At 41.5% G+C, this 16306-nt stretch overlaps 1 protein-coding gene across 7 annotated transcripts in view, besides 1 other annotated feature; it reads left to right on the top strand.

Annotated features, from left to right (window-relative positions):
• RNF152 (ring finger protein 152) overlaps positions 1 to 12328 on the top strand; it is an 86346-nt gene extending 74018 nt beyond the window's left edge. For all 7 annotated transcript variants that reach the window (XM_005266652.4, XM_017025612.2, XM_005266650.4 and 4 more), the window contains one exon: positions 3797 to 12328. In XM_005266652.4, the coding sequence (XP_005266709.1) occupies positions 3932 to 4543 (612 nt within the window). In that variant the 5' untranslated portion in view covers positions 3797 to 3931 and the 3' untranslated portion in view covers positions 4544 to 12328. The remainder of the gene's footprint in view (positions 1 to 3796) is intronic.
• Positions 3609 to 4168: an enhancer, noted in NCBI's record as "H3K4me1 hESC enhancer chr18:59483460-59484019 (GRCh37/hg19 assembly coordinates)". NCBI's record gives its function as "activates a minimal SCP1, AML or CMV promoter by ChIP-STARR-seq in primed H9 embryonic stem cells {active_cell/tissue: H9 hESC(primed)}" and the evidence as "EXISTENCE:reporter gene assay evidence [ECO:0000049][PMID:30033119]".
• Positions 12329 to 16306: the final 3978 nt, after the last annotated feature.

Here is a 16306-nt window from a genome sequence, read left to right as displayed (position 1 = left end):
TGGATATAAAATTATAGAAGAATTTTATCCTACTCTTTTTTTTTTTTTTTTTTTTTTTTTTTTGGTGAGACGGAGTCTCTCTCTGTCACCCAGGCTGGAGTGCAGTGGTGCGATCTCTGCTCATTGCAAGCTCCGCCCCCTGGGTTCACACCATTCTCCTGCCTCAGCCTCCCGAGTAGCTGGGACTACAGGCGTCCGCCACCATGCCTGGCTAATTTTTTGTATTTTTAGTAGAGACGGGGTTTCACCATATTAGCCAGGATGGTCTCGATCTCCTGACCTCGTGATCCGCCTGCCTCAGCCTCCCAAAGTGCTAGGATTACAGGCGTGAGCCACCATGCCCGGCCGGATTCTTTTTTTTTTTTTTTTTTTTTGAGATAGTGTCCCACTCTGTCATTCAGGCTGGAGTGCAGTGGTGCGATGTTGCCTCACTGCAATCTCCGCCTCCCGGGTTTAAGTGATTATCCTGCCTCAGCCTCCTGAGTAGCTGGGATTACAGGTGTCCACCACCACACCCAGCTAATTTTTTTATTTTTAGTAGAGACAGAGTCTCGTTATGTTGACTAGGCTGGTCTCAAACTCCTGGCCTCAAGTGATCCACCTGCCTTGGCCTCCCAAAGTGCTGAGATTACAGGCGTGAGCCACTGTGCCTGACCTTCTCTTTGACTCTTTAATATCTTCCTAAATAACTTAAATACCTTCCCCAGCACCTCCAGTGGAATATGGCCTGAACAGAACTCATTGTATTTCTCTTCATGATCCCTATTTCTCATAATGATATTACCTTCCTCTAAAGGCTTCATTTTTGGCTTCTTTCACTGTACAACCTCATTGCAATACCCTGCAAGATCCTGCTGGAATTCTGTGAACCTCTTCTCACATCTCATCATTCTGTCCTAATCATCACTATTCACTTCAGCTACTCATTTAACTCTTGCCTAATGTAATAGCCTCCCAATAGGTCTTTCCAGTCTACCCTTGAATGAATTGTTCTGCTACTCTTAACCTTTCTGGTGTTTTCCCATTGCTCACTCTAAACTCCTGAATCCTTGGCCTGGCACTGGGGGCTGCCCACGGTCCACAGTCTCTGGCCTGTGCCTGACTAAGCTCATTTCTCCCCTCCCTGTGGGATCTGCTATCCCTGGTTGGGTCTGGGGAGAGTGCTTGCAGGTTCTCTGAGAGTTTTATTTCTTTAAAAGACATCTGTATCAGAGACTGTAAGGGCTAAAACGATCAAACTCTTAGAGAAGACTTCTGTAAGTTGCTCTAGTATTAGAAACAATCCTCTAGCCAGTGTCCCAGGTAGAATAGAAAATAATTCTGTAATCGCTTACCTTCTTTCCTTTGCTCATGCTGATTCCATAACCTGAAAATAGCCTGTCCCCTGATTTTTTGTGTCTAATTCGATAATCCAGATTTTTCACTAAATTCCCCCTGATTCCTTCGGCTCCCTTAGGGTACCTTGTATTTACGTTACAATTGTCTAAGTACTTAGCGCTCCCATCTCTAGGCCAGGACTTTCTTATGGGCAATGACAAGATCTTAGTTACAAGGGACAAAAAGGAACATCACGCTTGACACATAGTAGATATGCAATGAAAATTTGAATGAATAAATGAATGAAAGAAAAAATATATTCGTGTGTTCCTTCTTACCTAGGTTTAAGTTGTTTTCGGGTAGAATCTGGGTCTGATTTATATCCTACAGTATTTAGCTTTGTGCTTTGTGCATAATAGATATTCCATAAATATTTTTTGAATTAGTGGATAGCTATGTAGTTGATCCTGATATGAACTTCCTGAATGCTACATTACTGTATTTCACTTTCAGTAACTTAAGTGTTTCTAATATAGCTAATGTATTTTAAAGTATGTTGATCTTTTCATTGTTACTAGTTTTTAACAGTGGTTATTTTTGTCTTTGAACTGGTTTGCTTTTTCTTGTTTTTTGTTTTTTGTTTTTTTTTTAATTTGAGACAGGGTCTCATTCTGTCATCCAGGCTGGAGTGCAGTGGTGCAAACACGGCTCACTGCAGCCTCAACCTCCCAGGCTCAGGTGGTCCTCCCACCTCAGCCTACTGAGTAGCCGGGACTAGAGGTGCTTGCCACCATGCCTGGCTAGTTTTTGTATTTTTTGTAGAGATAGGGTTTCACCATGTTGCCCAGGCTGGTCTCAAACTCCTGAGCTCAAACGATTCCCCCTCCTCGGCCTCCCAAAGTGCTGGGATTGCAGGTGTGAGCCCCCACGCCGGCCAGGTTGGTTTTTGGTGCATTCTTAATTTTGATTGTTAACACATTATATATCATGATGGGGGAGTGCTTTCTTAATTTCACAAAGGAAATTGGAAAGGAAAAAGAAGGGTCACTTTTAAGACAAATGTGAAGGAGTGTTATAGCTCCCATCTCTAGGTGTTGGTGGGGTTCTAGGACTAGCAATTTTTTCTGCAATAGTGGTTGAGTAATTCTTTCTAGAGTCATCATGGCTCCATCCAGGGACACATAATTTGGATGCTTTCAATGGGAAACTGAGTCAGGCAGCCCTTACTGAAATGCCAGTGGAGCGTTAGAGGACATTCCCAAACTTCAGTGAAGTTGAACTAAGTTTCTCTGCCTCCCCTCCATACCAGGATGCTAACACTTTTTTTTTTTTTTTACAATGAGGAATGCTTGCCAGACTTCCCTGTCAACCTTTAACTATAGAATATTTGATTTCAATTAGTGAATTAATGGTTCAGTCATCTCTCTATCTGAGGGCATTGGTTCCAGGACCCCCATGTATACCAAAACCTGTGAATACTCAAGGCCCACAGTTGGTGCTATAAAACCCAAGAATATGAAAAGATGGCCCTCGGTATACAGGGGCTTTGCATCCTGAGAACGCTGTATTTTTGATGTCATTTGGTCGCAGATGCAGAACCCACTCATAGAAAGGGCTGACCGTATCTATTCAAAAAATTCGTACTTAAGTGGATCCATGTGGTTCAAACCTGTGTTGTTCATGGGTCAATCGTACTTGCTTTTAGTTGTGTTACTTGGTACAAGCCTAAGTAGTAATGAAACAAAAAGAACTGACTGGAAAATGTCAGTGATGCCTTTGTGATGAGTGTGCCTTTGTGATCCACACTGCCTTAAGCTTCACTGCTGCTTTTGGTTTTGTTGCTGTTTGGGGTTTTTTGTTTTGTTCTCTTCAAATGATTTGTTGGGAAAGATGAAAGATGCCTTCGTGTGCTTCTTCTGCAGTGTCACTTTACTTCTCTGTGAAGAGGAACAATCCTAACCCATATATGTAAACTGAGCGAGTTAGTTATAGGAAGTACCTAGGTTTGTGAAGTTGCCTAAATCTTGCAATTAAGACTTACAAGTGGGTAAGTAGAGTCAGGAAAAAAGGTCAGAGGATCTAAGGAGAGAAATTTACTTCTAGGAAATACTATGAACTTATTGGAAGCAGGAAAGTTTCTCTAGTATATTTTAGAAGGATGACCCAGAGCTTGCTTAAATGTACAAAACAGAAACAAAAGACGCCCTCTTTATGAAATACAGATGCATCGTCTACAACTATTGGAGTTGTTCATTTTTTTAGAAATGAACTAAGTATTTGCCATGACATGCTCTCTGAGACAACTTTCATTCGCCTTTCACTGGGCGTTATGGGAATCCTGTAGTCTCAAGACTGGTAAATTTTTAGGCTTTTGGCCCAGTGTCAAGACTTTTGAGCAATGGTATAAATCCATTAGATATGTTGACATCTCAACTTCTTTGAAATAATTAAGATTGTTTGCATTATTTGTCTCTCTCAGAAATGAACACACCTGTGAGTACTGGATGCCTGTGAGCTTGCCATTACCTGCACTGCAAAGACACAGGGCGGTGGCCTCTGAGAAGCAGCTCCTTCCCCTTCACCTTGGCCTTGCCCTTCCTGCTCACGGTCCACCATGGAGACGCTGTCCCAGGACTCTCTGCTGGAATGTCAGATCTGTTTCAATTACTACAGCCCCCGGCGCAGGCCCAAGTTGCTGGACTGCAAGCACACCTGCTGTTCAGTGTGCCTGCAGCAGATGAGGACCAGCCAGAAGGATGTGCGGTGCCCCTGGTGCCGCGGTGTCACCAAGCTGCCTCCCGGCTTCTCCGTGTCGCAGCTCCCGGACGACCCGGAGGTCCTGGCTGTCATCGCCATTCCACACACTTCCGAACACACCCCGGTCTTCATCAAACTTCCCAGCAATGGGTGCTACATGCTGCCCCTGCCCATCTCCAAGGAGCGTGCGCTGCTGCCCGGAGACATGGGCTGCCGCCTGCTGCCCGGGAGCCAGCAGAAGTCCGTCACCGTGGTGACCATCCCTGCTGAACAGCAGCCTCTGCAAGGTGGGGCTCCCCAGGAGGCGGTGGAGGAGGAGCAGGACAGGCGGGGCGTGGTGAAAAGCTCCACCTGGTCGGGGGTGTGCACTGTCATCTTGGTGGCTTGCGTCTTGGTCTTCCTCCTCGGCATCGTGCTTCACAACATGTCTTGCATTTCTAAGCGCTTCACTGTGATATCCTGTGGCTGAAGAGGGCTGCAGGGAAGTCTCTTGTGGGTGCCAACTTAGGGGTTGAGCAGGTTGATGATGAGATCCCAGTGAGAAGATGGGGGGCAACACTGACCATTTGGTGCTGAGCGCTGGCCTCTGGGTTGCCTCTTGATTACCCCAAGACAGACACAAAGGGCAGAAGGTGCGGTCTCAACAAGATACCAGGTGAATTGTTCTGAGTGTTGATGGCAACAGCTTGGAAGATGATTGCATGCATCCTCATAATCATGTATTCAATGGACTGTAATTTATGATTTTTCAAAATCATGTTACAAGATAGACATATTCTACTTAGACGTTAAACTGTACAAGTGCGTACAATGTGACCTTCTCTAAATGCGGTAGATTCAAACAAAGATGCTCTGTAGACAAGTAGAATTAAACCTGCGAATCCGTGTAAAAATTCAGTGAAGACATGCACTGCTGGCTTCTTTATTTTTTTTTTCTTTTTATTGAAACCCAGTCTTCATTTAGTTGCTAAGGCTTTTAATACATTTTGAATGGCACCAAAACAAAATAAGTCAAAATGGACAGTCATTTTATTTGGAGGAAATATTTGAACAAGTGTCTCCAATGTGTTGTGTTTTGTCATGAACCTTCATTTTCTTCACTTGTAATTAGAGCTTGCTACGTGTTTATGGAACTGAAAGCTCAACAGGGGAGCAATAAACCGAGAAATCATGAGAAATGTCTAATCCCATGGGAAAACCTGTATGCCGATTTTCCTCAAGCCATCTCACAAAATAAGAATTTCAAATGTAAATATTGTGTATTTGTGTGTGTATGTGTGTGTGTCTAATTTGATTTACCTCAGGTGTTTGAGTCTTTGCTGAAGAATCCTGGGATGAAGACTTCATTGGGCATGAATGAGTCAAGTCTCTGAAGCGGTGGCCACTTCTTGGACATCTTGACCCAGCGAGTGGTCTCCTACACGTCACCTGCAACACTCGCTCCTCTTCTGTGTATTTAAGTCCTGCATTTTGTAAGAGGCAAATGGAGAGTAACAGAAGAGTGTCTTTTCTCCTGGTTTTGGAGTCTTGCACTGGCCATGAGTGTTGTGACTGATGGTCAACCCAGGCGGGCATTTTAATAAATGGCCTGTGATTCTTTTTTGAAAGATGCTCTTCCACAAGAGTTAAGCCAGTTAGAATTCCTGTTTCCTCTTGTTGATATGAGAGAAGATCTCCTGTATTTTAACACGTTTTTACCAAGAAAGGTGGCAAGGTAAACTAACAGCTCAAATTCCCAATATAAGTGGACCAGTTCCTCATAAACTGTCAAATGTTCTTAAATGTGTAATGATCTATAGATGCTCATGAAGAAAGATCTGCTACAAGTACGTGATAAATTCCTATCCCTGGGTGCATGTGCATTCAGAAATAGCTGTGAGCTTTACAGCTCTCATCTAACTTCTTTTATGGAATTCATGAAGCAAGTGGTATGTGACAAGGACTCCACTTATAAATATAACTGTTTTTATGTTCCACTGAATCCCTGAAAATGGTGAGGAGGGTGGGGGGAAGTGAAGGAAAGACAAGCAGGGCTAATTCCAAAAAGCAAGGCTAGAAAATAGCCCTGTGAGGTCAAGACAATTTAATTTATTTACATGCTGTCTGTTATCTTCAAGCAGCACAAAATATGCATATAAAAGTGATGGAATTAATGTGAAATAAAACAAAAATATAATGGCTAGAATACAAAGCTAATACTGCTAATTGGCATGAGAATTCAACATAAAATTGTGAGCTCTGATTTTTCAAATTGATCATAAAACCTTTAGGAAATGTATTTGAAAGCTCAAAATAGAAATTAGGTTAAAATGCCATTTTATTGTGTAAGCTCTTGGGCATTATACAACAAATAATCTAGGATTTATTTGGTATTAATAATTTAGGTGTCATATTAGCTGAATACTATCCTCTATTACATAACATAATATACTGTTGGGTTAGTGTCAATTTCTCAAACTCTCCCAGGCTGCCATAATGCATGTCTGACCTAATTTCTATTTCTCTTGGAGGAAAATACACACACACACACACCACAGAAGTGTTGCATTAAGAATGCTACATTTCGAATAGACTTTGCCCTTGCAATTTTAAGCTATGCCATATTCAGATTAATTTTGTGAGTGATATCTGCATATGTTTCTGTACAGTGTGAAATGACTGACCCTGTAGTATAGTACGTGATAGAGTTCTACTTGTTAAAGTAGGTTAGATATAGACACTAATGTGTGTGATGATAGTGTCCTGTGTTTCTTAGTGCAAATCTGTAGAGTAAAAATGTCCATAGAACTTTTACTTAAAAACAATCCCATGCTAGAGTTGCCATTAAGCAGTGCAAAATTAATCGGCTGTATGGTAGATTCTTGACCTTAAATTTAACAACAACAACCAAAATCAGATTTTTTTTGTGAGTCTTACTGACCTAAGAAACATTGTTTAAATTGTTTAAATGGATCTGCTTGCAGTTATTTGTGTACCTGTTTGTTGGGGTGTGCATTCTTGTGTATGTGTGTGTGTGTGTGTGTGTGTGTGTGTGTGTGTGTGAGAGAGAGAGAGAGAGAGAGAATCTCAGTCTCCCAGATAGAATTTTATAGGCTTAATGATGTTTTAATGTTGCTTGGCATCCCATTGCTCTGGCCTCTTCTGGCATTTACCAATGACCCTTAACAAACACATCTACCCATGTGACCAAAGTCCACTGACACAAGAGGCCAGGATTCATACTTGCACATTAATGAAAAGTCACAACTGGAAAGCACAGAAAGAGCTGAAAGCAGCCTCCGGTGGCTTCATTTTGTAGATGAGTCCGTTTTGTAATTCTGCAGAAAGGGGGGGATATGAACTTCGCACTGCAGTGTCTTCTTGCTCCATCCTAGGTCTGTCTATATCTCTATCTGGCTATGATCCTTTCTAGGGTTGATGAATACCCTTTACTGAGTCAACTATTGCTTTAAAGAATTTTTTTTGTAGGTTTATGTACTCATTTTAGTTAGCATCTACCTCTCTGGGAAAATGAAAGGAGGGTTGACTTAGGGATGAGTATAGATGTTGAAAGACAACTATCAAACCATGTGGTTTGAATTTTTAAAATTGTAAAACATTGGTGTCCAAACCTCCCACCCCACTTGTATGTAAAGGACAGTGAGTGTTGTATAAATAGTAAACTATAAGAAGCATGAATTTTCATCTTTATTAATGATCTTGAAATAAGGAAGAGAATGCTTAATATGTTAAGTAGAGCCAAGAATGCTACTAAGAAGCATTGTCTTTGGAAAAATTTTGTATAATGACTTGGGGCATAAGTTGTGATGAAAAGGCAACTTGGTTTTTGGTTCCAGTCATACTTAATGATCAGAAAGCTCTAAGATGTTTTCTTTAAAAATAGAATTAAGTTTAATTTTTTGCATGGCTTACAGATTGGGTCCCTTGAAGGTTAAACCATGTGATGGTATAACCTGTGAGATCTTCTAGATTGGCACTGTTCAATAGGGCTTTCTGTGATGATGGAAATGCTCGAAAACCTGTGCCGTCTGGTACGGTAGCCACCAGGCACATTGACTTTTAGGCAGTTAAAATGGGGTTACTACAAGGGAAGAACTGGATTTCAAATTTTATTTAATTTTAATTAGCTTAAATTTAAATAGCCCTATGTGTCTAGTGGCTGCCATATTGAACGATGCAGTTCTGGGTGATAGCGCTTGGGGATCCAGCATCAAGGTATTAATGGAGTAACAGTGAGGCTAAGGTGAGAGTTTGTGGGCTAGTGACATGCAGTTGGCAAAAGGCAAAACATTCCTTTCTGGGCTTAAAAAGTATGTGATCTCAAGTATGACAGTAAAAATTCATTGTTGCCCTTTGGAACTGTTGCTTATAGATTTTAGGCCAAGGAATGATCAGTGAAGCTTAAAGAATGCTTTATTAAGCCCCTTTTCTGGGATCATTAGCTGCATGTTAACCTATTGTCCAAAAATAGTAGTTAGACAGTACCTGTAAAACGTTTGACTTGCAAGCTATGCATGATCTGTACTGTGAAATTGTGTCTAGGGTCTTGTGGCCAAAAAGTAAATGTTACAGGAAAAAAAAAGCCTAATGAAATCCCTGTTCACTTCCAGTATCCTATCCAAACTTCATTGCTGTATTAGTAAGGTGCAAATATAAGAGCAAGCATGTTTTGCAGTGTTCAGACTGGTTTTGTTTGCCCTTGAAGTTGGCCAGCTTGTCGTTGTATTTGGTGTGGGCATATGTGGGCATCATTTTTCAGATGCCAAACTAAAATGTAGGTAGTATTTTTAGAATGAGATTTGACATTGTTTTAGTGTCTTTCTTTTTTAAGCAAAAATTTCAGTTATCCCTGAAAGAGTTGAAGATTTGAAGCTTTGCACAAAAGCACTTTTTTTAACAGTAAAAAATACTGCCCATGAAATTTAAAGACTTGAAGTTTACTAAAGCTACAATAATTACTTTTTAGCTAAATAAAAGGAAGCAGAAAATTCAGTTTGAGATATATTTCCTATAAAGACCAGATTCTTACTGATAATCTGGTATTTATTCCAGTCTAGATTTTGATTTTAAGAGTTCCCATCCCTTTATTTGAAAACTTATGTTGTTTCAAAATTGGTTAGTCTGCTTTTCATTGTTTTCCAAATGGAATATATACAAAATACATTTACTTCATTTTAGCAGAAATGGGTTGATTTTTTTTTTCTAGAACTCATCAATGTGCAAGACTTTCCTTCTTAGCTTGCCTTTAAAAATCATTTAATTTTTTTTTTTTTGCCAAGATACTAATCTTTCTTTAGCCTTAATAGGAAGATAGAAGTTCAAAAGTTATCGGTGCAAAAGGAGTGATACACAAAAGACTTCAATTTCTATCTTTTCTCAGAAAAGTGATGCTGCCCACCAGTCAGCATTTTGTTTCCACATAAGAAGTGTCAGGTAGTCAGTCTGTCATCCCTGACTTAGATAGAGAAGCTGTTCCTTGACATTTCCATCATTCTCAGTAAATTGTCACCTACAAGGTAATTCTTACCAAAACAGAAACTATTGAGAATAATAAGATAGTCGAGATAATTCAGTAGCTGTTTTGAAAGTAGTAGTCTATTTAAAAAGCAACGATGTTCAGTTGCTGGATTTTGTTCAACATGAGACACTTATTTATTTATTTATTTATTTATGAGATGGAGTTTTGCTCTTGGTGCCCAGGCCAGAGTGCAATGGCATGATCTCAGCTCACTGCAACCTCCGCCTCCCAGGTTCAAGCTATTCTCCTGCCTCAGCCTCCTGAGTAGCTGGGATTATAGGCATGCGCCTCCATGCCCAGCTAATTTTGTATTTTTTAAAGTAGAGACGGGGTTTCTCCATGTTGGTCAGGCTGGTCTCCAACTTCTGACTTCAGGCGATCCACCCGCCTCGGCCTCCCAAAGTGCTGGGATTACAGGCATGGGCCACTGCACCCAGCCAACATGAAACACTTCTAAAAGATAAGTGGAAATTCAAGCCATTGATTTTTCTGACACAACTGACTTACTACACACACACACACACACACACCACGATTTAGCTGTAATTGGAGTTAAAATTCAGTAAAAAACTGTTATTAGTCATGTTTTCCAATTTGTGAGTTATACAATATTGGATTAGATGCTAATTTCTTAACTGTTGCTATGGGCTGCATACATTATGTCAAACTAACTACCTTTGGGAGTGTCTATATAAACACTTGAAACTTTTCAAATATATGAAGAGGTAGGTTCTACTGTATACATTTTATTGGAAAGCCATTAATCATTGAAGAACTTAAGCAGGTGGGGCATTTAATTTCTTCCAAATACCTTATTTTTTGGATCTGCTCAAGTGGTTAGGGCGAGTGCACCATTATTCCCGAATCCCTGCAATTTGGTTCCCATTTTTCTGCACAAATTTTCTTGCTCAGTCGAGCCAATGACTTTTTTTTTTTTTTTTTTTTTCAGGATTCACTGCCTGGGGTATCCCACTATATATATCTCACCTATGATGTAGTGGTGCTTGAAATACTCATCTCATTAGCTCGATTTTATTATTCTAATCTAAGGTTTTTTATATTATTCATACTATGATATTTTTAGGGACAATCAGTAATATTTGGGGCAGAGTACTGAGGGACCTCTTGAAGTCTGCAACAGCATGCATTTTCTTTGTTTTTGTGGGAGTGCTTCCCTGTAGCTGTCTTTGTTCTAGAACACTGCTCCAAATTTATTTCCATGGGATGTAGGGCTAGTAGCCCATGTGAAAGTCTTCTGTAATCTCCTTGGGGTGTGAGTTATTGGGTTATTCTAACAGGAGTTTTCCAAAGGGATGGCCCATTTTTAATTCAACATTTGCTTTTTGAAAATCCAGAAGTAGACAGTTGGATATAATAGTGGTGGAAGAGCATGGGCTGTAAGCAGAAGGAAATAGAGATGACAAATGCCTCTTAAAGGGGATCTAGTTGATACCTCTGTTAAATAGTGGGAGAACACAGTAGCTGGTACCTTACACTGTGCTTTAGGAAAATCCTATGAGGATTTCATTTACAAATCCTCATAGGATTTTCTGGGTTGAGGGACAATGCAACTATTAAGTAGAGGGAGAGGGAGAGGGAAAGGGAGACATGAAGCACTGGGTCTATGTGAAGGGACAGGCAGATATACCCAAAGAGGGAGAAAATACTTAATAAAGGAAGAGTATAGCTGCAAAACAAGACATATAGGAGCTGAAGGCCAGATATGGCAGAAACCAGCTGGAGAAAGAAGCACAGGACAACTAGGACAACTTAGTCAAGCACAATCTGTCATTCCAGTACGGACTACCAAGTTCAATTCAGGATGCTTCAGTTGAAGACATGTGGGGTAATGTGCTCAGCTCATGAGGGTCCAAGGAGTCCCCATTTTCCCTATCACCCTATCCTATGCTCGTGGTTTGGATTGTTAGCACACTAGGCAATTTCAGAGTCCGCTCTAGAGTTGGTTGCCACGTCAGTGCAGACAGACTCTAGAATCCTCTTAACCATGGAATGCAAGGCCTGTTCCTGTGGATCTATCCTGACTTGAGTATGTCAGTACTGTTGGGAAAATGAGTTCAAGAATATTTCAGTTTATATATCCTGGTTGCCGTCATATATTTTTTCATTTCACCACTTGTTTGTGTTTGCCTCACTCAACAGTCATGGGTGTAGAAGCTGGTTTCAGCTTGGGGCTGTTACAAACTCCCTACATAAGCCATGTAGCTGCAATCCAGGGTTCCTCCCACCCTACGGCTTTAGCGGTGGGTTCTCTGGCCCTCTTGATAACAAATACTCCAGTCTAATGGCTATATTAATGCTGCTCAGAGGCTATTAACTCAAATCCTTGATGTGTTTCATTTACAATTATGTGGATTATTTATTTTAGGAGCTTTTTTTTTTTTTTTTTTTTTTTTTAAGGGCCAAATAGCCCTACAGATAAATGAGCTGCTGGGCTGTGTAGAAAATATTGTCCAAATGTTGCCAAATATTGACTTCGTAAAGGGGATATCAAGCTGCTGTTTATAAATCTGAATGTCTTAAAAGCATTCTTGCTTGCTCTCTCTGTTATAGATGGTGTCTTAGCCAGTCCTGAGTTTTCCAATGAACCCAATTTTAATATATGGTATTTTTGTATGCCAAACTGGTGTCTTGTCCTTTGTATATGTGGTAATGTTGATTTTATGACTACCGTAAAAACACATTTGCTATGATTAAAGTTCATAAAATGATTTCAAATAGACTCACGTATTGGTTTTTTCCCCCCTCCTAACCCCAGGAAAAGAAAAAAAATTGGCTGAGATTTTCATCATCAGTTATTCTAAGGATTTTAGTAGACTTGGGTGATAAAGCAGTAAGAAGATCCTGAGCCAAGGATTTTAAGTGGAGGTGACTTTCAAGTAGCTCCTCCGAGAGGCCAAAGAACACATCTTTAATGAGTAAGCCCAAGCTTGTCTTTGCAACTTGGGTTTTCTTCTGGTGGCCCTTCCTTTATCCTCCAGTGTTTAGAAATTGTGCTGCATGCCCCAGGTCCCAAGTGAACCATATACAGAACAACTTGTTGCACCGTATACAGAACAACTTCATGCAGCCCCTGTGAAGTAGGGTAGAGTGACTTGGCCTCTTGGCCCTGAGCCTGGAAAGGTGTCCTTCAATTAATGTTCTCATGAATAGGGTATTTTGGAGAGACTTTTTTGATAAAAAGCATCCTGTCTTTTGATAACTGGATCATATCAATGAATTTCAATTTAGTTTAGCAGGTACCCTACTCCTAATTAAGGGCTATCAATGACCTGATATGCATGGGTGCAGGTGTAAGCATGCTCTGGCTTTCTGGGAAATTATAAAGTAATCCCCACAGTTTTAAAAGTGAGATGTGGCCAGGCACAGTGGTTCATGCCTGTAATCCCAGCTTTTTGGAAGGCCAAGGCTGGAGGATCACTTGAGGCCAGGAGTTTGAGACCAGCCTAGGCAACTCAGTGGGACCCCTGTCTCTACAAAAATTAATGAGGAAATTAGCCAGGCATGGTGGTGCACACCTGTAGTCCTAGTTTAATCATGAGGCTGAGCCTGGAAGTCGCTTGCACCTAGGAGTTTGAGGCTACAGTGAGCCTGATTGCACCACTGCACTCCAGCCTGTGTGACAGAGTGAGACCTTGTCTCCTAAATAAATAAGAGGCATTATTGTGATTCAATACCCACTTCTTATACCAAAAAAGCAAGGAGTATTGTATTAGTCTGTATTTTTAAATGTGCAAAATTTTTTTGGCATATTTAAACTTTTCTGATCTGTGAATTTCCCTGGTTTCAAGTAGCATGGGGCAGAGGTGGGTGGGTGGGTAGGAATTTCTTTGTTAGAGTTGGTTACTCATGCTTGAACCTCTCTATCAGCTACAGAAGGACTTGATTGGAAGAAGGCAGAGAGGCATTTAAGGAAGGCATTTAGATACCCTGACTTCTCCAGGTCTTAACTCCTTCATGCCAGGAGCCAATGTATCTATAGTCTTATGTTATCAAGACTCACCTGTAGACTTGATGGGGACACAGCGAAGGAGAGGGGGTCTTGGGAAAGCCCTATAGGTGCATCTTGCCTGGGAATAGACACACTGGCAACCTCTTCAGATGACACTACTGGTGGTGGCACAGGTTTTATGCCTCTGGATGTGGGCCTGGAAGGAGAGGATGAGGCCATGCCAGCTCCAGGATCCCTGCAGAGGAGGAATGTGTGTGAGTAGCTGAAGATCAGGCAGAGGGATATGAAGGTGCAGAGAGAGAGGGTAACCAGGTCTGGCATTCACTGCATGCCATCCTCACCCTCAGGCCTTCCACAAACACAGCCCTCCAACACTCCGCCAAATTTCCTGAAATGAAAGCCCGTCTACCTGCCAATACATTATTTTTCTTAATGCTTTTGTTTTCAGAGATAATTCTTGGAAGAGAAACCCATTTTCAGTGTACACAATATAGCACTAGGCTGCGTAAATGGCAGGGGAGAAGGGGAAGGGTTTCTAGAATCAAGACTGAATATCTGCTTTTCTTTTTATAGATTTGAAAACTTTTGCACAATTTTACTTGACCCATATAATGACACAGCTGTAACTGGATTCAGTCTCTCTCACTCCCCAGAACTACTGCTCCTTGAATCCCCTCTTTACACTATTGTGTTGGCACACGCCTATTTGTTTTTATTATTTGCAAGAGTAAGTGAAGGTACAGACGTGCGTGGGGATGTGTGTGTATACACATGCATATGTGAACATTTCATGGACTCTTGGCATAGGTTTTTTTCAAGGTTAAGAGGGTGAAGATCTTAAAAGAGGGGTCAGGAAAACACTCTGGTTTGGGATTACTTCTTCTTCTTTTTTTTTTTTTTTTTGAGATGGAGTTTCACTCTTGTTGTCCAGGCTGGAGTGCAATGGTGCAATCTCAGCTGACTGCAACCTCCGCCTCCTGGGTTCAAGTGATTCTCCTGACTCAGCCTCCCAAGTAGCTGGGATTACAGGCATGCACCACCACACCTGGCTAATTTTGTATTTTTCTTAGTAGGGAGGGGATTTCTCCATGTTCGTCAGGCTGGTCTCAAACTCCTGACGTCAGGTGATCCACCCATCTTGGCCTCCCAACGTGCTGGGATTGCAGGCGTGAGCCACTGCACCCAGCTAAGAAAGGATTATTTCTATGGAATCATGAGGAAAATTAGGGAGAAGGAAAGCCCCTTCAACCTTTTGTTACTTCACTGAGGGTTTCCATGATGGCCAGTCACTATGGCTGCTGAGATGAGCAAAGTGGGAACAGTCCCTGACCGTGTAGGGGAGAAAGAGAAACTTCTTTTCTCACCCATCACAAGGTTCATGGCTGACACCCATTAATAAGAGAAATGCATAACACATTTATTTAATATAAGTTTTATGTGACATGGGAGCCTTCAGAAATAAGACCCAAAGACTGAGAAGAAATTATTTTTATGGACAGTCATGCAGAAGTATAATTGGAGGACAAAAGGATCTGATCTTATGGTAATAAACTGGGGGTTGGGGGGAACTTAGTAGGACCTGTTTGTTCAGATTCCTCCTGGCATCCCTGCATGCCATTTCTTTTCTCTGGTTATAGGGTGACACATCTGTCACATGGGGATCTTCAGGGGAGAAAGGAGGAAGAAGATCAGAGAGTGAGCTTCCTAGGTTTTAAGGTCCGCTTCAGAGAAGAAGGGGCAGGTGGAATTCTAGTTTCTATGGCCCAGTTCAAGAGAAAGAGGGTGGAGAAGGTCAGAGAGACCTTCCTGCTTTTGAAGCTTTCTCAATTTCCTTCAGCTTAAAATACTCAGTATGCCAAGTTGCCACACATTGCGGTATCATGTTCTGAACCCTGACTTCACGTGGACCTTAGAGTCTTGTAGGAAAGACAGGCATTGGTAATAAACAATGTCCAGGTCCAGTGCAGAGGTGCAGGGGATTTGAATGCATGTAACAAGGAAGACAGATGGAAGGCTTGCCTGATGGGCTTGCCTGATGGGTTTGGGGTAGGAGCAGAGTCAGAAAAGGCGTTTTGGAAAAAGTGGCTTCTAGGATAAGAGCTAAGGGATGAATTGGGATCAGTGAGGAACATTTCTGGAAACACACTCAAGAAGGGATCACAAGAGAAAAAGGAGGCATAGGGCATGGAGACTTCTCTCTGGGGTAAGTTGACTTCTCTTGTTAGCCTCCCTGCTGTTTGTACATTGTCTTGTGCCAATTACACTGCAACTGATGATGTTTCAGTGTGACATCCCAGTCCCCAGGAATATCCATTGCGATGGTCTGTATGCTGTGTCCCCCTCCAAATTCATTTGTTGAAATGCTAAACCCCAAGATAATGTGATTAGAAGGTGAGGCCTTTGGTGAGGTGATTAGGTCATGAGGGTAGGGCTGTCATGAATGGGAATGATGACCTTATAAAAGGGACCTAAGGGAGCTGCTTTGCCCCTTCCGCCATGTGAACACACAGCTAGACGTCACCATGTGTGAACCAGGAAACGGGCCCTCACCAGACACCACATCTCTCAGCACTTTGATCTTGGACTTCCCAGCTGCCAGAACCATGAGAAATAAATTTTTGCTTATAAGTCACCCAGTTTGTAGTATTTTGTTATAGCAGCCCAAACAGACTAAGATACCCAAAGAAGAGCATTTTACAAAAGCACAACTATAGGGTTGATTTTATAGGTAGATACTTTTTCAT

This window comes from Homo sapiens, chromosome 18 (genome assembly GCF_000001405.40).
Source record: "Homo sapiens chromosome 18, GRCh38.p14 Primary Assembly".
In the NCBI taxonomy this organism is placed as follows: Eukaryota; Metazoa; Chordata; class Mammalia; order Primates; family Hominidae; genus Homo; species Homo sapiens.
Note: the sequence above shows the minus strand (reverse complement) of the source record. Positions and strands in the feature narration are given on the sequence as shown.